A 25,779-nucleotide genomic window follows, 5' to 3' on the forward strand; every position below is an offset into this window, starting at 1 on the left:
TTTTCTGCATTTTTTCACTTTTTAAAAGTAATTTATTTAACAAAACAAATTGAAGTCAGACAGTTGAATTTCGTTATAGTGGCTTGCCTACAGCAAAGTTGATACCTAATCAATAAAAATATTAATGTACCAATCATAGGAGGAGAATATTTCCTTTATGTAAAGGCTCAGAATGAAGCTCTAATTAAGATATGCCTTTACATCCACTTCCACCCAAAGTTTCTTTGAAATGGCAGAATAAATGTAAAAATCAATCCGCAGCAGCACTGGAAACTGGAGGAGTGGAATCAGCATTGAGGAACTTGTTGTTAAATAATAATATCCCACAGGTGGAATAAGATTAAATGTACAGTCCAACTGAGCAAAAGACCCCAAAACACAAATATAACAGACAAAACTGCTGAAACGATGAGTTAAGCAGAACCATGGAAAAAACCCCAGGATCACAGACAGTGAAGACTGGGAACAGACTCTGGGGCAGTCAGCAGGGTAATTAATTAAATGGCTTGGAATAGCTGAACCAGTTCCCTAGTCTTCAGAGCTGCTGGCTCAGGCATATCCTCCTATGCTGGAGCCAGGAAAATACCTCTCTAAAGGAACTACATGAACTGTCACTAGATACCCCTAGAGTCATCATTGGGCTAGAAAGAGAAGTAAGGCAATGCTCTAAGTAACTTCCATCATCCCAACAGACAGAGAAATCCTTGGGGAAAACTTAAATGATTGGACATTTTCCTCTTTTTCTTTTTGTGTCTCTCCAGACACTTTTGTCTCTTTATGAATTTCAACTCCCTTTTTCTAACTACTTCTTACGTACTCTTTATTTTCCTGCAATGAAAATTATAATTTACCTAACTATACCTATAATTTATAAAAATCAACAATGTGCTAATGTACTGTAGAGGAGAAATAAGAGGGAGGTGATTTATAATAAAATTATATATATTTCAAAACATAAATGCTTTAGTACAGCTATACTAGGATATATAATGTAGTCATCAGATGCCTGCACCTAAACAGAGAATCACCACAAATGTGGCAACCATGAATGTAGACTGATACAGGAACATTGTGTTGTCATTTTAAATAGCATGAGCAGATTGTCATCAGTAATGTCCAAATGATTGTCCAAAATGGTGACCAATGGTAAAGTTCTGAAGAGAAGAAAGTAAAATCTTCCATTAATTTATATAGTAGGTACAAGCCTGGGAAATTTAATGTATATTAAAACTATGCAAAAATATTTGGAGTTTATCTAAAAATGGAATTTTGTTCCAGATTTTAGTAATTACAAACAGATTTTTTACCACCATAAATATCTAGTAGGACATTTAAACATTATACAGGACACAGAACAATTCTTTGTTGCACAGGACCGTTCAGTGTATCCAATAATGATAGGATGTTTAGCATTCCTAGTACCCTTTCACTAAATGCCAAAAATATCCCCAAACACTGTGACAATAGATAATGCCTCACAAATTTCCAAAAATGCCCCCTAGGTGCAATACCATTCTTAGTGGGAACCTCTATTGTTGATCCTTATTTAAAATATGAACCAACAACCAAGAATCACCTAATAATGGTCCAGGGGGAGAAGAACTGCATAACAGGGAGATTCTGAAGAGAGAGAAAAAAAGTCTTTAATTAAATAAAGATAATGTAATATTCTGAAGATAGCTATATTATATTCTTGAAATAAAATGAAGTTATTATCCTTAAAGAGAATCAATGACACATTGCATTCATAACACAAGAAGTAGTTGCATGCAAGAAAGCATTTTTTTTTTTAAGACATGGTCTTGCTTTATTACCCAGGCTGGAGTGCAGTGGCTCGATCTCAGCTCATTGCAACCTCCTCCTCCCCGATCCCCCATCACTCCCACCCCTAGGTTCAGGTGTCTCAGCCTCTCAGGTAGCTGAGACCACAGGTGTACATCACCATGCCTGGCATTTTTTTATTTTTAGTAGAGACAGGGTCTCTCCATGTTGCCCAGGCCTGGTCTTGAACTCCTGGACTGAAGCAATCCACCCACCTCAGCCTCACAAAGTGTTGGGATTAAAGCCATGAGCCACCACACCCGGCCAGAAAAGAGCTTTTAAAAAGTATTTTACATCTCCTTTTTCACTAAATGAAGATATTACTCAAAAAAGTTGTTTGATTATTAAATAATATAATTTATTTGAAGCACCTACCTATCACATTCCTAGCACAAAAAACATACTCGGGAATAAGTTTTGAATTGTGGTTGAACTATGTACATAGCACTTTTTTAAAAATAAGCTGTTCCATTTACCATTGCTGCAGAACAAATCAACCCAAAAGTTAATGGCTTAAACCAACAATTTAGTATTGTCTCTCATGGTCCTTTTGGTTAATTGCGCTCAGCTAGGCAGCTCATGTTAGAGCACTCTCACGTGGTTGCAGTCAGATGTCTGTTGGGGATGCAATATCTGATGACTCTACTGGGCTGGACATCTAAGATGGGAGCTCATCTGTGGCTATCAACTGGAACACCTACCTATATTTGGCCTCCCTAGCATGGTGACCTCAAGGTAGTTGAATTTCTTATGTGGTGGCTCAAGGCTCCAGCATAGGTGTTTCAGTGAACAAGACAAAAGCTGTATCACCTTTTATGACCCAGCCTCAGAAGTCACACAGCCTCGCTTTCACCATATTCTATTCATCAATGCAAATTTGAGGGGATGGGACTTAGACTCCACCCGTGTATGGGAAAGTGACAAGGTCTCTTTATAGAAGAGCATATAGTCAGAAGTTATTATTGTGGCCATCTTTGGAGAATAATATGTGATACATTACTGGGTCAAATGGTATTTCTAGTTCTAGATCCCTGAGGAATCGCCACACTGACTTCCACAATGGTTGAACTAGTTTACAGTCCCACCAACAGTGTAAAAGTGTTCCTATTTCTCCACATCCTCTCCAGCACCTGTTGTTTCCTGACTTTTTAATGATTGCCATTCTAACTGGTGTGAGATGGTATCTCATTGTGGTTTTGCTTTGCATTTCTCTGATGGCCAGTGATGGTGAGCATTTTTTCATGTGTTTTTTGGCTGCATAAATGTCTTCTTTAGAGAAGTGTCTGTTCATGTCCTTTGCCCACTTTTTGATGGGGTTGTTTGCTTTTTTCTTGTAAATTTGTTTGAATTCATTGTAGATTCTGGATATTAGCCCTTTGTCAGATGAGTAGGTTGCGAAAATTTTCTCCCATTTTGTAGGTTGCCTGTTCTTTCTGATGGTAGTTTCTTTTGCTGTGCAGAAGCTCTTTAGTTTAATTAGATCCCATTTGTCAATTTTGGCTTTTGTTGCCATTGCTTTTGGTGTTTTAGACATGAAGTCCTTGCCCATGCCTATGTCCTGAATGGTAATGCCTAGGTTTTCTTCTAGGGTTTTTATGGTTTTAGGTCTAACGTTTAAGTCTTTAATCCATCTTGAATTGATTTTTGTATAAGGTGTAAGGAAGGGATCCAGTTTCAGCTTTCTACATATGGCTAGCCAGTTTTCCCAGCACCATTTATTAAATAGAGAATCCTTTCCCCATTTCTTGTTTTTGTCAGGTTTGTCAAAGATCAGATAGTTGTAGATATGCGGCGTTATTTCTGAGGGCTCTGTTCTGTTCCATTGATCTATATCTCTGTTTTGGTACCAGTATATAACCAAAGGACTATAAATCATGCTGCTATAAAGACACATGCACATGTATGTTTATTGCGGCATTATTCACAATAGCAAAGACTTGGAACCAACCCAAATGTCCAACAATGATAGACTGGATTAAGAAAATGTGGCACATACACACCATGGAATACTATGCAGCCATAAAAATGATGAGTTCGTGTCCTTTGTAGGGACATGGATGAAATTGGAAATCATCATTCTCAGTAAACTATCACAAGAACAAAAAACCAAACACCGCATATTCTCACTCATAGGTGGGAATTGAACAATGAGAACACATGGACACAGGAAGGGGAACATCACACTCTGGGGACTGTTGTGGGGTGGGTGGAGGGGGGAGGGATGGCAGTGGGAGATATACCTAATGCTAGATGACGAGTTAGTGGGTGCAGCGCACCAGCAAGGCACATGTATACATATGTAACTAACCTGCATATTGTGCACATGTACCCTAAAACTTAAAGTATAATAAAAAAAAAGTGATACATTAGTATAAGTTAAATACAAGTTAATTTAGTTGGGATGGCTCAATAATCATTATTACAAGTACCCATTAATATATGGCATATTAGTAGATTAGTGTGTTAGATTTTGGTTGTTTTTCTGTCTCTTCCCTAATGTCACCCTACCTGCTAGTTGTCTTTCTGCTTGCTTCTAACATTCCACCATCCCTCTAGTTTGCCACTTTTAATCTTCCCTATGCTGGGGAATAGATGAAAAAAGAATGAGAAAGAGAGAAAGAAAGATGTAAAGTTCCATGTTAATTAACTATCAAAATGATGTTTTCAGTACAGTTCTGGGTAATAGATGGCTTGGCTTGGTATGGGGTAACATTCAAAGACCCTCTGGGGTAAGTTCTGATTTCACAACTGTGTTATGGAGGATTGGAAACTATGCCACTCATAGTGTCTACTCAGTTTTCCCAATAAATATATACTTAAAAATTTGTATAACCTAATACATTTGTAAAAATCAAATTATATATCAAAAACTCCTAAGAGCTAATTATGTGAAGAAATTCTGTGGGTTTTAGGAGGAATGAAAATAATCACTCGTAATGTGTTATGTGTAAGTTCAGAATTTTATATATCAGACATTTTTATGTTGGGGTGGCAACAGTGGAGGGAAACACCTGCACAGACATAGCCCAGTGAACACTGCCATCATTAATTTTCATTATCTTGCTAACATTAACTTCAGTATCTGTCAAACATGATTATTCAAAGAATATATTCGAAATTCTGCAGAACTTATTTGGAAGAAAAGTAAAAAATTTCATCAGCACTTTTTTTTCCCCAATGATACTCAGTAATTTCCAGGCTGGTTATAAATTAATTATGCAATCAGGTTTTTTATATTTTATTTAAATTTTATTTTCAATTGACAAGTAATAATTGTATGTATGCATGGGGTACATAGTGATATTTTGATACACATAATATACAATAGTCAGATAAGAGTAACTAGCATATCTATCATCTCAAACATTGATCATTTCCTTTGGTTGGGAACATTCAATATCCTCCTTCTAGCTATTTCAAACTATATAGTACATTATTGTTAACTATACTCATCCTGCACTAGTATAGAACACTAGAACTTATTCCTTCTATCTAGCTGTAATTTTTTATCCTTTAACAAATCTCTCCCTATCCCCCTGTTCTCCGTGTCCTTCCAGTCTCTAGTACCCTCTGTTCTACTTTTTACTTCCGTGAGATCAACTTTTTTATTCGTATATGGAGACACGCACACATACCACATTTTCCTTATCCATTCGTCTGTTGTTGCACACTAAGGTTGATTCCATATCTTGGCTATTGTGAATAGTGCTGCAATACACATGGCAGGATGTCTCTTCAATATGCTGACTTTCTTTTCTTTGGATAAATGCCCAGTAGTAGGATTGCTGACTCATATTGTAGTTCTATTTTTGTTTTTTGAGGAACCTTTATACTGATCTCCATAGTGGCTTTACTAGTTTACATTCCCACCAGTGGTGTACAAGGGTTCCCTTTTCTCTGCATCTTCTCCAGCATTTACTTTCTGTGTTTTTGATAATAGTCATCTTAACTAGGGTGAGATGGTAACTCATTGTGGATTTGATTTGCATTTCCCTGACGATTAGTGATGTTGAGCATTTTTCATCTATTTGCTGGCCATTTGTATGTCTTCTTTTGGGAAATGTCTGTTCAGATCATTTGCTCACTTTTTAAATCAGATTGATTGGTTTTTTGCTGTTGGTTTTCTGCTAGTAGTTTGAGTTCCTTGTGTATTCTGAATATTAATTCCCTGTCAGAAGAGTAGTTTGCAAATATTGTCTCCAATTCTATAGGTTGTCTTTTCACTCTTGATTGTTACCTTTGCTGTGCAGAAGGTCTTTAGTTTGATATAATCTCATTTGTTTATTTTGCTTTTGTTGCCTGTGCTTTTGAGGTCTCATTCATAAAATCTTTTCCCAGACCATTGTCTTGAAGTGTTTCCCCTATTTTTTTCTCCTAGTAGTTTTATATTCAGATCTTACATTTAGGTCTTTGCTTCATTTTGAGTTGATTTTTGTATAGGGTCATTCATCTGCATATGGATATCCAGTTTTTCCAGTACCGTTTGTTGAAGAGACTATCCTTTCCCAATGCTTTTGGCACCTTTGTCAAAAATCAGTTGGCTGTAAATATGTGGATTAATTTCTGGGTTGTCTATTCTGTTTCATTGGTCTGTGTGATTTTAGGCCGGTCCCATGCTGTTTTGGTTACTGCAGCTTTGTAGTATATTTTGAAGTCTGGTAGTGTGATGTTTCCAGCTTTGTTGTTTTTGCTCAGGTTTGCTTTGGCTCTTCAGGGTCTCTTGTGGTTCCATTAAAATTTTAGAATTTTTTTCTGTTTCCGTGAAGAATGTCATTGGTATTTTGATGGGTATTATATTGAATGTGTAGATTGCTTTGGGTAGTATTGTTATTTTAACAGTACTATTAATAATTATTCTGATCTGTGAGCATGGGATATCCTTCCATTTGTTTATAGCCTCTTCAGTTTCTTCCATGAGCATTTTGTAGTTTTCCCATGAGCATTTTATAGTTTTCCTTATAGAGGTATTACCTCTTGCAAGGGTTATGCTTTGATGTTTAAAACTAGCAAATCTATGTTGTCCTTTTATTTAGAAATATAATTGCTAATGTTGGCACATTTTGCCAGTACTTTTTATAAATTTGTATGACATAGCTTTTCAAGTTTAATAATTCAGATTAAATTCAGCTGATTTTCTTTCTCTTTAAGCAGCAGCTTTTTCTGCATGGAAAACAAAATTACTACCATGAGGTAGATAATTCAGCCACAACCCCTCCCTCATTTTCTTTCTTTGCCTTGGCTATCTGGTTATTTCAAGTTACAATTTGAAATTTTTACTTGGGTAATTGCCTCTACTTTCTTCTTAATATAAGTGTTCTCTAGGATGTTATACTATGGGATTTTCTCAGAAAGCTGAAGGATAAGATTTATTGGCTCTTACAGCTTAAAACCAGGCTCTAAGGAATATCTAGAAGACAATTCTGTTGCCCGGGCTGGAGTACAATGATGTGATCCTGGCTCACCACAAACTCCGCCTCCCAGGTTCAAGCAATTCTCCTTGCCTCAGCCTCCTGAGTAGCTGGGATTACAGGTGCCTGCCACCACACCTGGCTAATTTTTGTATTTTTAGTAGAGACAGGTTTTCACCATGTTGGTCAGGCTGGTCTCAAACTCCTGACCTCAGGTAATCCACCTGCCTCAGCCTCCCAAAGTGCTGGGATTACAGGCGTGAGCCACCGTGCCAGGCCTAGAAGACAATTCTAAAGCTTTCCTGGATTGTGGACTCCATTGAAATCTGATGAAAATCTTCTTCCCAGAAATGTGAGATTATACACATTTTGGATCCATTTTCAGAGTATTTATGAACCCCGACCTAGGACTCTCCCATGTATAAGGAACATGAATGCTTTCCACATCATTGCATACATGGCCATCCCAGCCTCACCAGAATACCTCTAACAGTAGAGAAGTGTGTAAATCATAGAGGCAGCCTGGAAGGAAGCAGCAGTTTGAATACATGTAAACAATGCTCCACAGAATCTCTGATGTTCCTTAGAGATGCTCCACAGAGCACCCCAATTGTTCATCCAATTTCATTGGCCAAATTGCTTAATTTCTAGGTCTGTTTTTGCATATAAAAAGTGGATCTCATAATATCAAAGTGGCAGGATTGAAAGATTAAATGTAGTACATATGAAATTCCCAAAAGAGCCTCTGGTAGGGTAAGATGTTCCCTGTATGGATGTTGTTGTTGTTGTTGCTGCTGCTGCCACTGCCATGACTACTGCTGGTGCCACATTATTGTTATTTAAAGTAATTAATTTAATTTTACTTTCTCGCTGTGGTAGGTATTAAATTATTATTGTCTAAAGCTTCTTTCAACTTGGATACATTTGAAAATATGGTAGATGAGAGCTTTTCATAATATGTATCATTTAATGTTATTATTGATGTTGTGTTAGAATGTAATTGTCACCGGAAACTGTGGCTAAATGTCTTAATCAGCATCTTATCTTTCAGTTGTTTATTGCTAACTGTGAGGAAACTTTTGTCTGTTCTGTCATTATTCACAGTGAAAACAGTCTGAAAACAGAATAGGCATTTTTAATCAGTATTGGAACCCCTGGAGATGCTTCTATTGATCTCCTTATATTTACATGTTCTATATCATTATAATGCCTTTGTGTAGTTTCTATTTGAAATAAAATAGTTTTGAACTACATGTTCAGAACTGCAATTTCTGTTTAACTGACATATAGATTGACAAAATGATTATGTAACAAAAGCATAAAGAGGCAGTTCTATCTTTAGAAATGCATAATAAGAAAAAATCTGGCCAGGTAACCCATATGAGGTCTTTAATAAAAAGAGAATATATTGACTTCTTGTTAAATTGACAGCATAAGCACAGGCCTTTAACTACCTTCCTTCAGGCCTCATGGAAATGATAACTAGAATACAAAATAGGGCAAAAATCTTCAAAAGCACTAGCTGTTACAGGTGAATCCTAAAATCTTTTTAATATAGGAGAGATAGGACCACATGGATGGAAAGCAGGAAGGGCCAACCTGTTACTCCCACTGCTAAACAACAGTAACGATTGTGGGAATAACTGACTGGCAGGAACCCTGGCAGGAGGACACTCTTAATATGTTCTGATTTGAAGGAGTAATGAATAAAGTCAAAGACAGGCTGGGGGTAGGGGGCAGACGATCTCTTTTCACTCTTTTTTATCTTAGTGAGTCAGTGGCATTTGTTGAAATCCTCAGGTTCACACAGATTATTTGTCAAGCAGAAGGACAACTGGGGCTTGATCCTTTAGAAAGTGGAGACACACTTTAGATCTGACAGACACTGGGGCATACAGGAAGCTTTAAATGTAAGAGGAGTTGGCACGACAGCTTCAGCACCAAAAGCCACATCACTCTGCGCAGCCACCTCTTGTTCTAAGTCACTTTTCACCCCACTCAGACTGCTGAGTCATCCTTAAACTCACAATGCAAAGGTACATTTCACCCAGAGGTTTGAGAGGGTAATTCCAACAACAATTTGGTCAAATTTTAGGGCAATCAAAGGGTCTACACATTCTTTAAAAGGTCAAAAACCAGTTCTGAGTAGAGAGCTCTCTAAATTCAAGCTTTTATGAATAAAAATGTATAACATATATAATGTGTATATATACACACACATCTCATTCAGGCTATTCTAGCTCTTATAAACAAATGCATACATATACATATAAATATATGATTGTGAAAAGGTCCACAAATAAAGCCAGGAAATACAGCTCTCAAGATTCATAGTGGACTTCAGGATCAAGATAGAAGAGGGATCTCATGCTAAAACCTTCCCATTCTGCTCTTACACATAGAAATGACATTTTAAATTGTGTGTGTGTGTGTGTGTCTGTGTGTGTGTGTGTGTGTGTGTGTGTGTGTGTGTGTGTTTAGATAAAAAACAAGAAAGGAATATCACCCTGCATCAGAAACAATATGAAACTATCATGATAAGTAGGATTTTAAGCTTCAGAGATTTCACAGAATTGAGATCAGCAATTGGAGCTAAGGTTTCTACACCCAAGAGGCCCTAAATGATGCCTAAGCAAAGGAAGCAAGGAGCGGGAATCCTTCTGTAGAGAATATACTTTATTTTCTTAAATTGCTCATGTATTAGGCATTTTAAAAAATCCCTCCAGTTTATGAGCCATCTGGGCCTGCCACTAATTAAAGTTGAAAGTAAACATTTCATCCACTACAGGTGGGGAATATAAATTGGCATGACATCCTTGGGAATCCGTTTTGCAGTATATATCAAGAGCTTTTTAAATATCCATTTGGAAGGTTTTTTTGAAAGTTAAAATGTTTTTAATGGTCATATATTCTCACTCAATAATCCCACCTGTTACTATTTTTTTTGCAAAAAAGATGTGTATAAGTATATACATGTATTTTTATTACTGCATTTCTTATACAGATTGAACATCCCAAATCTGAAATCCCAAATTTGAAATGCCCCAAAATCCAAAACTTTTGAGTGCAGATATGGCCCCAGAAGTGGAAAATTTCACACCTGACCTCATGTGATGGGTGGTAGTCAAAACACAGGAGCATAACACAGTTTATTCAGCGTCCCCAAGAGAAAAAAAACTAACAAAACAAAACAAAACACCCTCCCAGCCCACTTCAGCTTTGATATATTTTTTTCTGAGCAAGCATGATGGTGATGCCAAACAACCACAGATTGTCCACATGGGTGACCAGAATAGTGACACCTTTACTTTCTGATGGTTCAATGATCACAAGTTTGGTTCACGCACAGAATTGTGACCAGAATAGTGACACCTTTACTTTCTGATGGTTCAATGATCACAAATTTGGTTCACGCACAGAATTGTTACAAATATTCTATAAAAGCTGTGTAAAAGGTGCTTATGAAACAAATGAATTGTATGTTGTAGTCTTGGGTCCCATTCCTAAGGTACCTCATTATGTATATGCAAGTATTCCAAAATCCAAAATACTTCTGGTCCAAGCATCTCAGATAAGGGTACTCAACCTGTAATATCAAAAATATGGATGTTACCATTATTCTAACGGAAGTAACTCAGGAATGGAAAGCCAAACATCATTATCTTTTCACTTATAAGTGGGAGCTAAGATATGAGGACGCAAAGACTAAGAATGACACAATGGACTCTGGGGACTTAGTAGGAAGGCTGGGAGGGGGTTAAGGGATAAAAGACTACACATTGGGTGCAGTGTACACTGCTCAAGTGATGGCTGCACCAAAACCTCAGAAATCACACCTAAAGAACTTATCCATGTAACCAAACACCACCTGTTCCCCCAAAACTATTGAAATAACAATAAATAAATAAATGAAATGAAATACATAACATTTTGAAAATATTTCTATTAACAGTAAAAAAAGTCCTAATTTCTCTCAGTAAAGAAAGATTATGATTTTGTATTTTATTAACAACCATGTAATTTAGTAGGTCTCATTACTCTGAAAAATCTTTGGCATATTATTTTAGGCAACAAAAGAAATGGATGTTCAACTTTTACAGGTTGATTCAATAACTATGTTATTTTTACTCAACCAATTGAAAAATAAGACTGTCAAGCAGTGACCATCTGATTGCATGTATTTGTCTGTGCAAGTCTCCTGCATCACTTCAGATGTTCCTATCTGAAATCAGCAATATATTACCTTTTAAGAAGAATGTGAGTAGTAGCTGCCTTTTTTCTGTTACATCTGAAGCTAATTAGAAGTTACTTAAGCAGATTAGAAAAGGTTTTATGAGAAAAAGGGGAAAGGCAGTACTGTAACATTTTAAAGGCCTTGATGGGATTTATCTTTTAAATTCTTCCCTTCTTTAGGAGCTAAAGCTTAGACTTGATATGGCGTCTTCTCATTCTACTTATTCTGGACCTCAGACATTCATCATTCTTTTCCTCATTTCCCCCAGAGCATATATTTATTAAGAAGCATGAATTTATTAAACAAAAAAACATTTTTTTTGTTTTTTGTTTTTTGTTTGTTTTTTGTTTTTTGTTTTTTGGAGACAGGGTCTCTCTCTATTGCCCAAGCTGGAGTGCAGTGGCGCAATCTCGGCTCACTGCAACCTCTGCCTCCTGGGTTCAAGCGATTCTCGTGCCTCAGCTTCCCAAGTAGCTGGGATTACAGGTGTACTCCACCATGCCCAGCTAAGTTTTGTATTCTTAGTAGAGATGGGTTTTGCCACATTGGCCCGGCTGGTCTTGAACACACACAAGTGATCTGCCCCCCTCGGCCTCCCAAAGTGCTGGGATAATAGGCATGAGTCACCGCACCCAGCCAAAACTGTGTTTCTTTAATGAAAGTCAGCTATACTATTAATATTTAGAATGGACATTATGGTATTTTCCTCTACACAAAGTAATTATGCTATTTCTTCTCCTAGAATTGGGGTGATGTTCCAAGCATTAGATAATAGCTTATTATATGATTCTGTGTCACTTGAGAGAAATTTTACCTGTTTTTGTAAAACAGCCCTGTTCTCTGGTGACTTGATTATTCAAAGCCAGATAATAACCACAACAAATATTTGTGGCATTTTGCCATTCAAGGAAATGGCGAACTCACATATTCTCCTGTGTTGTTTCAAACTGAAAGTAGGTCACTGTTGTAAGGTTCCATTAAGAAAATATATCAAATTTAATCTTGGGAGTTTTAAGTTGGCAAATTATTGCCAGCAACAAGAGAAATAATTCTTTTCCTAGTACAATTTTATTTCCAGAAAAAATGAGTTAAAGAGAAAAACATATCGCTTAAGAAAAGGTAATGATTTACATTCATTATTTCCTTCCTTCCAGAACTATTTGTTGAGTGTCTACAATGGGCCAGACCCTAGGATAACAACACAAACAAGGCCCTTGCTATCAAGCTGCTTAGGTAAATTGTAGTGGGCAGAGATGGACAAGCAAGTTCACAAATAAATAGAAAACGTAATTGTAGACAGTGATGAGTGTTATGCACATAATAAAACCAGATTATGTATTAGGAAAGATGAGTAAGTGGAGATGCTACATTAGATTAATTGACAAATAAGTCTTCTTTGAAGAGGTAACATTGCATCCCAGACTCAGCCAGGAACAAAAACTATGGGAAGGACCTTTCAGGCCCAGTACAAATGCTGTGAGATAGGAACAAACTTGACATACTTGAGGGACAGGAAAAAAAAAAAAAAAAAAGCCAGTGTATCTAATACGTATGAGCAAGCAGGAGAACAGCATGCGATAAGGGTGGATATGTAGCAAGAAGCCAGATAATACAAGGCTTTGAACACCATACTAAGGAGTTTGGATTTTATTTTAAGTGTCGTAGGAAGGCACAAGGAGTAACATGATATGGTCTACATTTTAAAAGATCCTTTGGGTGTTTGTTTAAAACTGGGCTCTAAGAGTAGCAAGAGTGAAGAAAGCAGGAAGACTAGGTGGCTATTGCAGTGATTGAGGTGGGAGATGGTGGTAACTTGGGCTCAGTTTGAAGTAACAGCTAACAAATATTTATTTTTTAAAAAGGATTAGTAGTGTGTCAGCATGTATAACTTTTTGGAACGCCTGAAATTCGGTGTTAATTTTTAAACTTTCCTATTCATGTGCATATTGTTTCAATGAGTAAAAAAAAGTCCGGTAGCACAGACAGATCTGCTGTCATCTTGGATCTTAGACTACCCCATGTTTTTCTATTGTGCCTTCTCTGCACTAATCAACTATTGGATATTTGCTTTTTTCATCAAACAAATTCCTTAAAAAGCGCTGAAATTCTTTAATACCACCAGATACATAGCAGCAATCTACTAATCTGTATTGGTACACAGGAAGCAAACATAGACAGTTCTTCAGTCATAAAAATCAGGAAGCCATGATGTTCCTAGTGTTTAACATACAAAAACAAATATCTAGTGTGAATCAATCCCAAAGCTCCCACATATTGTGAGTTTTCACAGAAGATCATTTCCAAGAAACTATTTCAGGTTTCTGTGATACTTTAATCACATACCGATAGCATTAAGATATGAAGGCACAGCTAGACAAGCAAGACTTAATTCTCACTACAGGCAGGAATATAGTAGTTGTCAAGGGGATTGCAGGATGTGTACTATCTAGTACTTAATCAAGTAAAATCTATATACCTTACTACTAACATGGTGAACAGTCTATCACATTAAATGGTTTCAAGCACAAAGGCAGAAAAAATGCAAGGACTGCTTCTAAGATTGTAGAAGGCATGAGTGGTAAAATATAGTCAATTATCACTTTTTCAAAAGATGAAACTCTGATTCCTTTCACAATTAGAACTGACTATAATGATAGAATGCCTAAAGTATAGTGTGTGTTTCAGTCCTATAACTGGACAAACAAAATGTAAATGATGCCAGAAAGAAACATCCTCCCGCAAGGCCTGAAAATCTCCTCTTCCAAACTGAATGCCTTATTTTGGGTTAGTGGAATAGGTATTTTCCAGAGTTCACATGAGGACAAAGTATTAACAGCTCATCTCAGAAAAGGCAGCAGTACTAAAATGTGTGCAGTAACAGTCTTCATAATTATTTATCATGATAAAATAGTTCAATTCAGATCCAGAAGTTCAGTTCCTGCCTTCAACAACAGAGTATTAATATTACTGTTGCAGGTAATATTTTTAAAAATAACATTGACATAGAAGGTTTTAAATTTTTATCAGTTTTGCAGTTCTAAAGTTCTGTTTTATATTAATATGTCCTCACAGCAACCCTGTGAGAGAGACATTATTCTTTTTAATTTAAACTATATGGAAAGATCAAAGCTCATAGAACTTAATGATTTACTTAAGTCACAAGTTTGGAAAGGACAATGTCAGAATCATAATTCAGGTCTTCTAATTCTCTGTCCAGGGTTCCTAATAAATCCTGTGAGTCTCATAGAAATATAGTTAAGACATGATGTCACAATTGAACTGGTAATTATTTTTTTCTCTTTTAAAGTATATGAAATAGCATGGTGTGTTATAATTGATGGCACCTTAGATTTGGTGAAATATGATGACCTCTCTGAGTATTCGCTTCCTGTCTCTGAAGTCAGGGTACAGTCTTCATATGATTTTCTCAAGGATTAAGTGACCTACTATGAAAGTGTTTTGCTCTGTAACTATAGGTTTATGGGGGTTTTGTGTGTTTGGGTTTTGTTTTGTTTTGTGTTTTTAGACAAGGTTCATGCTGTTGCCCATGCTGGAGTGCAGTGGTGTGATCACAGCTCACTGCAGCCTCAATCTCCCTGGCTCAGGTGATCCTCCCACCTCAGCCTCCTAAGTAGCTGGAACTGCAGGCACACACCACCACGCCTAGCTAATTTTTTGGTATTTTTTGTAGAGATGGGATTTTGCCATGTTGTCCAGGCTGGAGTTTATGTTTTAGAGTTCACTTTTTATTTTAATTCGAATCATTCAATAAAATATACCTCATCTTACCTAATTTTCATGACTTACAAATATTCAGGATAAAGCAATAGATTGCATTGCCTCAAGAAGCTTTAGTAGTTTTCAATCTGCTATAAGATATCTCCCTCATTGATAACATTGATTTTCTCAGGAGATAGGATTGGGAGATTATCTGTTTTTTTATTGGAAACTTTCATATTGCTTTTTTTTTTTTTTAAGAATAAGCATTTGTTACTGCTGAACTTTAAAGCTTATTTTTTTAAGTAAAAGAATTTTTAAGCATCATGGAGATCTCACAGTAAGAAACAAAAGCTCTCTTTGGGACTATTTGCGTAACAATACATAAAAAGGTAATAATAAATGTTCCTAGGTAAAGACCTTAAAACTGGGGATGCACTCCTCCATAAAGTGAGCTTAAACCTCCAGACAGAGTTAATAGCTCTTTGCTCAAACCTGTATTATTGCTCTTTTCATATTGCCTTGTAATTATCTATTTGTATGTTTTTCTTCTCACTGAATTTTGTCCTAAACTGCTTTGCATCTTTAGTGACAAACACTGTGCTGACCTCATAATAAATAAATAATAAATCTTTGTTGAATGAAAAAAAATGAAGATGTAAAGTCAACAACTGAATCTTTAATATTTTTTTTCTGAAAATGTGAGACCTTATCCAACCAGCATTATTGATAAAAATTATAAAGCAATTAGTTCTTGGGACTACACAGTGCTATTTGTGTTTCTCATTTCTTTTATAATAACTGCAGAATCTAATGAAAGTTAAAGTCAAAAGTAGAATAGGGAAAATATTCAGAGTGAGAAAACTTGCTTCTTAGACAAGTTATTTTACAACCTTAAGTAAATTATTCAACCTCACTTTTGCCCCATTTATAAAATGGTAAAAATGATGTATTTGTCTCTAAGCATTATAGGATAAAAATAAAGTAACATTTGTAAAAAATTGCCTGTAGTTGACCGGGCGCGGTGGCTCATGCCTGTAATCCCAGCACTTTGGGGGGCCAAGGCGGGCGGATCACGAGGTCAGGAGATCGAGACCATCCTGGCTAACACGGTGAAACCCCGTCTCTACTAAAAATATAAAAAATTAGCTGGGCGTGGTGGCGGGTGCCTGTAGTATCAGCTACTCAGGAGGCTGAGGCAGGAGAATGGCATGAACCCGGGAGGCGGAGCTTGCAATGAGCTGAGGTTGTGCCACTGCACTCCAGCCTGGGCAACAGAGCAAGACTCCATCTCAAAAAAAAAAAAATTGCCTGTAGTTTTTACTACAGATAAATGAAATAAATTAGTTCACACCCTAATTCTATTTTTATCAAAAAAGTAGATTCATTTTTACTTGTAGAGAAGCAGAGTAGTGAAAAGATCATACGCTATAAGGTTCCAATGCCAACTCTATGGCATAATAGATTTGGCTTTGAGAATTCTATAAGCTGGCTGAGTCTCATTTTTTTTCATCTATGAAGATGGAGATATCACCAATCCATAGGGTTGTCCTGAGGATTAAAGCTAATGTATCTGAAGTGGCCAGCTCATTGAAAATATTATGGCTCACATCTGGTAGGTACTTAATATCACCATTATCATCATCATCATTATAATCTTCTTTGTTCATTGTCATTGTGTAAAAGGATTATTTTGTCCTTACAGCCTTAAACCATTCTCTTCCGCACCTCCTTTTTTTTGAGAACTGGAAACCCTGGAAGATAATGAACAATTTCTACTAATGTCGATTTATATGATCTATCGTTACATTACTTCTCTGAGAACACGTGAGAAACCGTGTGCTAAAACCCTGGAAAGCAATTGCAAAGTAACATTTCATGCTTTCAAGTGGCAGTAATTTTGGGTAGGAAACCAGTCTTCAACTCAAATTTACTTAATGGATATAAAGATTGAAATAATAAAGAAGTTTATGTCTAACTAGCAGCCTCAAAGGCCCTCTGGAAACATTTCATACAGTCTTATATATGGAATGAAGGAGGCCTTGCTGAACTTGTTTAGAAAATGGAAATACTAAAATTGCATAGGAATGAGGTCTAAATACCCAGTAGCTCTCTGCAAACCCATAAACTAGATATTCACAGGCATTTCATCCATGTGAGGCAGGAGTAAGCCATATAGCTCTCTGAAGGAAAAGTGTTCCAGACAGAGGGAACAGCAAGTGGAAAGGCCCTGAGGCAGGAGTGTGCCTGATGTGTTTGAGAAAAGCAAAGAGGATAGTTTGGATTGAGAGGTCCAGTTCATTCTGTCGTTAAGCCCTCAGTTTAATTGCCTACTATCAGAAAGGCCTTACCTAATCACCTGTCTAATGTTGACCTTCTCTCCACCTCCAGTACTCTATTTCACTCCCCTGTTTTATTCTCTTCACAGCACTTTATTTTTTGTTTGTTTACTTGTTTATTTTCTACCTCCTTTAGTAAAATGTAAGCTTCTTGAGAACAGTGATCTTGAACGTCTTCTTTACCACAATTAGCTAACACCTAGAACAGTGCCTGGTACCTGGCACATATTCAAGAGACACTCATATTTTTTATTGTGCTTAATATCTGTTTAGTAAGCACATTTAATATTTAACAGATGAATGTTGAATATATATATTTTAATTTCATTTACTTAGGAATGAACTTAAAACAATGAGGCACCATTTTTATTCACCAGAGTGCCATATATTAACAATGATTGGTCATCTATAGTGTTAGTAAATATGTGAGGAAACCAGCATACTCATACACTGTTAATAGTTGTTTACTCGATTCAGCTTTTTTGGAGCGCAGTCTAACTGTGTCTCTAGGAATCTAAATGTACATTTTTTGACGCTTCAGTTTCACTTCCGAAGTCTATACAGAAATACCCATTTATATGCATAAATATAAAGATTATAATGATGTATTGGTTAATGACAAGGATATATTCTGAGAATACATCATTAGGCAATGTCATCATTGTGCAAATATCATATTGTATTCAAACAAACCTAGGTGGTATAGCCTACTATCTACTTAGGCTATATGGCATATAGCCTATTGATCCTAGGCTTCAAGTATGTATAGCAGAAACTGTACTGAATACTGTATGCAATTATAACATAATGCTAAGTATTTGTGTATCTAAACATGGGAAAGGTACAGCAAAAATACAGTATTATTATCCTATGGGATCACTGCTACAAATGTGGTCTGTCATTGACTGAAACATGGTTATACAGTGCATGACTCTACCTACTTGCATGTACAAATAGATCTCAAATAGTCTATTCTTTCCACAAATATTTGTTGAATACAATTTATCAGGCACTAAGAACATAGGCCAGCTTTGCTAATGTCCTTTAGTACAAAGCAAGCAGCTGAAGCTCGGTATTGAAGTAGGTAAAACTTGGAGGAAGAACAGAATCAACTCTTGTGTATATAGATCCTAAGTAGGTACCACGTACCATCTGCTGAGACTTTCTGATTAAAATATTTCTGTCGAAGATTATACCTTTTTTTCAGAGCAACACACCTTATAGAAGGGGAATAAGACTACAGACAAAGTTTCCTGTACAGAAAGTCATGACTATGAGTGAGGATGATACACCATAATGAGCATGAGAGATGAAAAAAGGGAGAAACTAAAGTAAAACCATTAGAGTGAACCTCAACCAGCCCAGGCATAAAAGGAGCATGAATGATGCCTTCTGAAAGTGGATCATTAGTGCCTGCCAACCTGTTGCAATACTGAAGCACTGCAACTATTTTATTATCTGCTGGAATTGTATTTCTACCAAAAGATACTAAAGAGGGTGTGATTGTTTAATTATGTACATATCTGGATATATATTACAGACTCCATGGGCACAGTTTTGTTTTGTCTTGTTTTGTTTTAAACTTGGCTAAAATGAATTTATTATCATGTTTAGAGACTGTGGATGGGAACGTAGCTTGTAGGGTAAGAAATCCTAAAAGGTTAACACTACCGTGTACAATTACTTATAGCCTCAATAAGGAAAAAGCGTGAAAGTACTCAAGTAAATCAAGGGAAGCTTCACAGAATTCTTTGATGAACTTACATGTTTAAACAAATATACAAAAGATGGACAAAGAAACAACCTAGAACTAACAAAAACTTTTACACATAGTGTTAGGGAAGTTAAGGCCAGGATTAACTTAAACTTTGAAAAATAAAGGTGAGAAGAACTACATTTAAAGCAGTAATGACAAAGTAGAAGACTTGGTTTTTAAAGGTAATATAAAGGGGAAGAGTCTAAGTGTTGTGTTGGACAGACTCTTTGGGTGGTTTCCATGATTCCTGTTTCCTGATGTTCATGCCTTTGTGTGATCCTCTCCCTTGGAGTATGTTTGAGACCTGTGATTTGCTTGTAACTATACAATACAGCAAAGTCACAGGTTGTACATGACTATATTGCATGAGATTTTAGTGCCAATTTTGCTGGAATCTTGCACTCTTTACTGGCTTCAAAGACATGAGCTGCTATGTTAGGAGACTCATGACAAGGAGCTGAGGACAGTCTCCGGATGAATCCTTCAGTGCTCCCCAGTCAAGCCTCAGATGAGACCACAGCCATGCTCAACCTGTAGATTGAAGCCTTATGAGATCCTAAGCAGAGGACTCAGCTAAGCCATGTCCAGACTCCTGTCCTACAGAAACCATGAGATAATATACATGTATTGTTTATGCTGCTATATGTGTGGTAGTTTGTTACACCACAATATAAATTAACACCATAAACTATTGCCATTTGCCTCTGTCTTCCCAGTGGGAAAATGACCTTCACAGTGGCAAGGCTAGAATTTTTCCTGGAATAAAAAATATTCTTCTGTTGGAATAAGGGATACAAATTACATTCTTAGGGCTTTTAGGCACTCTTCAGACTCCTTATGAGAGATAAACACCCTCCCTACCCCTTTGACACTTTTCTATCTAATCAAAAGAAATTTGGGGGAATTAGAAGGGTGATTTTTTACCATCTTAATTAAGACACCAGCCTCCAGAACCAAACAGCAGCTGTTGTATTAGAAATACCACTATGAATCTTCCTGAGAGAAATAGCTCTCCCTCCTTACCATCTGATGTTGTCTCATTCAGCTTAACACTTCTAGTACCTATCATGGTGCTTGACACATAGTTGATACTCAATGATTAATGAATGAATTCCTCATTAAGTTATCTCATCCATGCATTCAATAAGAAAGAGGGAAATTCACCCTTTGCTGTAGCACATTTCCTTCTTAGACTTTTGGGAATGAAAAAGCATACATGATATTTATTTATGTACAAGGAAGCATGAATGAACCATGAGAATACAGACATGAGTGAACTGCTTTTGTAAATAAAAGGAGCTTTAAAAACCTAATGTGAATTCTGATTACTTCATAGTTCTCTTTATTTTTTCTCGATCTACAGAGTTGTATATAGTTTTGTTTGAGACATGTTCAGAGTTAGTAAATGCCAAAAGCTTGTCTGATTCCAAATGATACTGACATAATGGACTCATTTGTTATGTCTGTGTTCTCTATCTTTGCATCACATAAAAGTACAAATGTTTTTATAACGACAATAATTGAAAATGAAATGCCTTTATCTTTTTCTTCATTTATTTTTAGCTTCCTTCTTTGTACACCCATGATGAAAACAGTTTTAGCATTATTTATTCCTGTTGAATGCCTGGTACATTGTATCTCGTTACTAGCAATTTGTGAACTCTCATTTTTTTTTTTTTATACTTTAAGCTCTGGGATACATGTACAGAATTTGCAGTGTTGTTACATGGGTATACACATGCCATGGTGGTTTGCTGCAGCCATCAACCCGTTATCTACATTAGGTATTTCTCCTAATGCTATCCCTCCCCCAGCCCTCCACCCCAAGACAGGCCCTAGTGTGTGATGTTTCCCTCCCTGTGTCCATGTGTTCTCGTTGTTTAACTCCCACTTATAAGTGAGAACATGCAGTGTTTGGTTTTCTGTTCCTGTGTTAGTTTGCTGAGAATGATGGTTTCCAGCTTCATCCATGTCTCAGCAAAGGGCATGAACTCATCTTTTTTTATGGCTGCATAGTATTCCATGGTGTATATGTGCGATATTTTCTTTATCCAGTCTATCATTGATGGGCATTTCGATTGGTTCCAAGTCTTTGCTATTGTGAACAGTGCTGCAGTAAACATATGTGTATATGTGTCTTTATAGTAGAATGATTTATAATCCTTTGGGTATATACGCAGTAATGGGATTGCTGGGTCAAATGATATTTCTGGTTCTAGATCCTTCAGGAATAGGCACACTGTCTTCCACAATAGTTGACCCAATTTACACTCCCACCAACAGTGTAAAAGTGTTCCTATTTCTTCATATCCTCTCCAGCATCTGTTGTTTCCTGACTTTTTAATGATTGCCATTCTAACTGGCGTGAGATGGTATCTCATTGTGGTTTTGATTTGCATTTCTCTAATGACCAGTGGTGATGAGCTTTTTTTCATATGTTTTTTGACCGCATAAATGTCTTCCTTTGAGAAGTGCCTGTTCATATCCTTTGCCCACTTTTTGATGGGGTTGTTTGTTTTTTTCTTGTAAATTTGTTTAAGTTCTTTGTAGATTCTGGGTATTAAATGCCCTTCATCAGATGGATAGATTGGAAAAATGTTCTCCCATTCTGCAGGTTGTCTGTTCACTCTGATGATAGTTTCTTTTGCTGTGCAGAAGCTCTTTAGTTTAATTAGATTCCATTTGTCAATTTTGGCTTTTGTTGCCATTGTTTTTGGTGTTTTAGTCATGAAGTCTTTGCCCATTCCCTTGTCCTGAATGGTATTGTCTAGGTTTTCTTCTAGGATTTTTATGATTTTATGTCTTATATTTAAGTCTTTAATCCATCTTGAATTAATTTTTGTATAAGGTGTAAGGAAGGGATCCAGTTTCAGTTTTCTACATATGGCTAGCCAGTTTTCCCAACACCGTTTATTAAATAGGGAATCCTTTCTCCATTGCTTGTTTTTGTCAGGTTTGTCAAAAATCAGATGGTTGTAGTGTATAGCATTATTTTTGAGACCTCTGTTCTGTTCCATTGGTCTATATATCTCTTTTGGTACCAGTATTATGCTGTTTTGGTTACTGTGGCCTTGTAGTATAGTTTGAAGTCAGGTAGCATGATGCCTCCAGTTTTGTTTTTTTTTTGCTTAGGATTGTCTTGGCTGTATGGGCTCTTTTTTGGTTCCATATGAAATTTAAAGTAGTTTTTTTCTAATTCTGTGAAGAAAGTCAATGGTAGCTTGATGGGGATAGCATTGAATCTATAAGTTACTTTGTGCAGTATGGCCATTTTCACAGTATTGATTCTCCTATCCATGAGCATGGAATGTTTTTCCATTTGTTTGTGTCCTCTAATTTCCTTGAGCAGTTTGTAGTTTTCCTTGAACAGGCCCTTCACCTCCATTGTAAGTTGTAGTCTTAGGTATTTTATTCTCTTTGTAGCAATTGTGAATGGGACTTCACTTACGTTGCAGCTCTCTGTTTGTCTATTATTGGTGTATAGGAATGCTTGTGATTTTTGCACATTGATTTTGTATCCTGAGACTGCTGAAGTTGCTTATCAGCTTGAGGAGATTTTTTGGCTGAGACAGTGGGGTTTTCTAAATATACAATCATGTCATTTGCAAACAGAGACAATTTGACTTCCTCTATTCCTATTCGAATACCCTTTATTTCTTTCTCTTGCCTGATTTTCCTAGCCAGAATTTCCAATATTATGTTGAATGGGGTGGTGAGAGACGGCATCCTTGTCTTGTGCCAGTTTTCAAAGGAAATGCTTCCAGCTTTTGCCCATTCAGTATGATATTGGCTGTGGGTCTGTCATAAATAGCTTTTATGATTTTGAGATATGATCCATCAATACCTAGTTTATTGGGAGTTTTTAGCATGAATGGGTGTTGAATTTTATGGAAGGCCTTTTCTCTATCTATGGAGATAATCATGTGGTTTTTGTCATTGATTCTGTTTATGTGATGGATTACATTTATTGATTTGTGTATGTTGAACCAGCCTTGCATCCCAGGGATGAAGCTGACTTTATCGTGGTGGATAAGCTTTTTGATGTGCTGCTGGATCCGGTTTGCTAATATTTTATTGAGGATTTTTGCATTGTCGTTCATCAGGGATATTGGCCTTAAATTTTTTTGTTGTTGTTGTGTCTTTGCCAGGTTTTGGTATCAGGATGATGCTGGCCTCATAAAATGAGTTAGGGAGGAGTCCCTCTTTTTCTTTTGTTTGGGAAAGTTTCAGAAGGAATGGTACCAGCTCCTCTTTGTACCTCTGGTAGAATTTGGCTGTGAATCTGTCTGGTTCTGGGCTTTTTTTGGTTGGTAGGCTGTTAATTACTGCCTCAATTTCAGAACTTGTTATTGGTTTACTCAGGGATTCAACTTCTTCCTGGTTTAGACTTGGAAGGGTGTACATGTCCAGGAATTTATCCATTTCTTCTAGATTTTCTAGTTTATATGCGTAGAGGTGTTTATAGTATTCTCTCATGGTAGTTTGTATTTATGTGGGATCAGTGATGGTATCCCCTTTATCATTTTTTGTTGTGTCTATTTGATTCTTCTCTCTTCTTTATTAGTCTGGCTAGTGGTCTATCTATTTTGTTAATCTTCTCAAAAAAACAGCTCCTGGATTCGTTGATTTTTTGAAGGGTTTTTCGTGTCTCTATCTCCTTCAGTTCTGCTCTGATCTTAGTTATTTCTTGTCTTCTGCTAGATTTTGAATTTGTTTGCTCTTGCTTCTCTAGTTCTTTTAATTGTGATGTTAGAGTGTCAATTTTAGATCTTTCCTGCTTTCTCCTGTGGGCATTTAGTGCTATAAATTTTCCTCTAAACACTGCTTTAGCTATGTCCTAGAGATTCTGGTACGTTTTGTCTTTGTTGTCATTGGTTTCAAATAACGTATTTATTTCTGCCTTAATTTCATTATTTACCCAGTAGTCATCCAGGGGCAGGTTGTTCAGCTTCCATGTAGTTGTGCAATTTCAAGTGAATTTCTTAATCCTGAGTTCTTTCTTTTCTTTTTTTTTTTTTTTTTGAGATGGAGTCTCACTCTGTCGCCCAGGCTGGAGTGCAGTGGCGCAATCTCAGCTCACTGCAAGCTCTGCCTTCCGGGTTCATACACCATTCTCCTGCCTCAGCCTCCCAAGTAGCTGGGACGACAGGCACCCGCCACCACACCCAGCTAATATTTTTTTTTTTTTGTATTTTTAGTAGAGACGGGGTTTCACTGTGTTAGCCCGGATGATCTCGATCTCCGGACCCCGTTACCCACCAGCCTTGGCCTCCCAAAGTGCTGGGATTACAGGCATGAGCCACCGCACCTGGCCTCTTAATCCTGAGTTCTAATTTGATTGCACTGTGGTCTGAGAGACTGTTTGTTATGATTTACATTCTTTTGCATTTGCTGAGGAGTGTTTTACTTCTGTTTATGTGGTCCATTTTAGAATAAGTGCAATGTGTTGCCGAGAATAATGTATATTCTGTTGATTTGGGGTGGAGAGTTCTGTAGATGTCTGTTAGGTCTGCTTAGTCCAGAGCTGAGTTCAAGTCCTGAATATCCTTCTGAATTTTCTGTCTTATTGATCTTCTGATATTGAGAGTGGGATGTTAAAGTCTCCCACTGTTATTGTGTGGGAGTCTAAGTCTCTTTGTAGGTCTCTAAGAACTTGCTTTATGAGTCTGGGTGCTCCTGTATTGGGTGCATATATATTTAGGATAGTTAGCTCTTCTTGTTGCATTGATCCCTTTACCATTATATAATGCCCTTCTTTGTCTTTTTTGATATTTGTTAGTTTAAAGTCTGTTTTATCAGAGACTAGGATTGCAACCCCTGCTTTTTTTTTTTTTACTTTCCATTTGCTTGGTAAATATTCCTCCATCCCTTTATTTTGAGCCTATGTGTGTCTTTGCACTTGATATGGGTCTCCTGAATGCAGCACACTAATGGATCTTGACTCTTTATCCAATTTGCCCACCTTTGTCTTTTAATTGGGCATTTAGCCTGTTTACATTTAAGGTTAATATTGTTATGTTTGAATTTGATCTTGTCATTATGATGCTAGCTGGTTATTTAGCCTGTTAGTTGATGCAGTTTCTTCATAGTGTCAATGGTCTTTACAATTTGGTATGTTTTTGCAGTGGCTGGTACCGATTTTTCTTTTCCATATTTAGTGCTTCCTTCAAGAGCTCTTGTAAGGCAGGCCTGGTAGTGACAAAACCTCTCAGCATTTGCTTGTCTGTAAAGGATTTTATTTCTTCTTCACTTATGATGCTTAGTTTGGCTGGATATGAAATTCTGGGTTGAAAATTCTTTTCTTTAAGCATGTTGAATATTGGTCCCCACTCTCTTCTGGCTTGTAGTCTGATGGGCTTCGCTTTGTGGGTTACCTGACCTTTTCTCTCTGGCTGCCCTTAACATTGTTTCCTTCATTTCAACCTTGGTGAATCTGACAATTATGTGTCTTGGGGTTGCTCTTCTTGAGGAGTATCTTTGTGGTGTTCTCTGTATTTCCTGAAT

General features: G+C 36.8%; 1 protein-coding gene and 1 long non-coding RNA gene across 13 annotated transcripts in view, besides 1 other annotated feature; both read left to right on the forward strand.

Moving 5' to 3' along the window:
- Window positions 1-25,779, forward strand: part of STXBP4 (syntaxin binding protein 4) — a 244,509-nt gene that overhangs the window by 112,424 nt on the left and 106,306 nt on the right. For 2 of the 12 annotated variants that reach the window (XM_047435715.1, XM_047435713.1), the window contains one exon: window positions 18,709-20,588. The exons of 8 other annotated variants lie outside the window; for them this stretch is intronic. In XM_047435715.1, coding sequence (XP_047291671.1) covers window positions 18,709-18,743 — 35 coding nt within the window. In that variant the 3' untranslated portion in view covers window positions 18,744-20,588. Of the gene's footprint in view, window positions 1-18,708; window positions 20,589-25,779 lie in introns of those variants that run through there. 2 more of the 12 variants (XM_047435717.1, NM_001398483.1) reach the window with 1 other exon arrangement.
- LOC107985002 (uncharacterized) lies at window positions 2-13,005 on the forward strand. The gene is made up of 2 exons (XR_001752943.2): window positions 2-11,486; window positions 12,618-13,005. It is a non-coding gene; the product is annotated as an uncharacterized LOC107985002 (long non-coding RNA).
- Window positions 8,956-9,055: an enhancer, noted in NCBI's record as "active region_12413". NCBI's record gives its function as "activates an Ori minimal core promoter by ATAC-STARR-seq in GM12878 lymphoblastoid cells {active_cell/tissue: GM12878}" and the evidence as "EXISTENCE:reporter gene assay evidence [ECO:0000049][PMID:35858748]".

This window comes from Homo sapiens, chromosome 17, assembly GCF_000001405.40.
Source record: "Homo sapiens chromosome 17, GRCh38.p14 Primary Assembly".
Classification (NCBI taxonomy): Eukaryota; Metazoa; Chordata; class Mammalia; order Primates; family Hominidae; genus Homo; species Homo sapiens.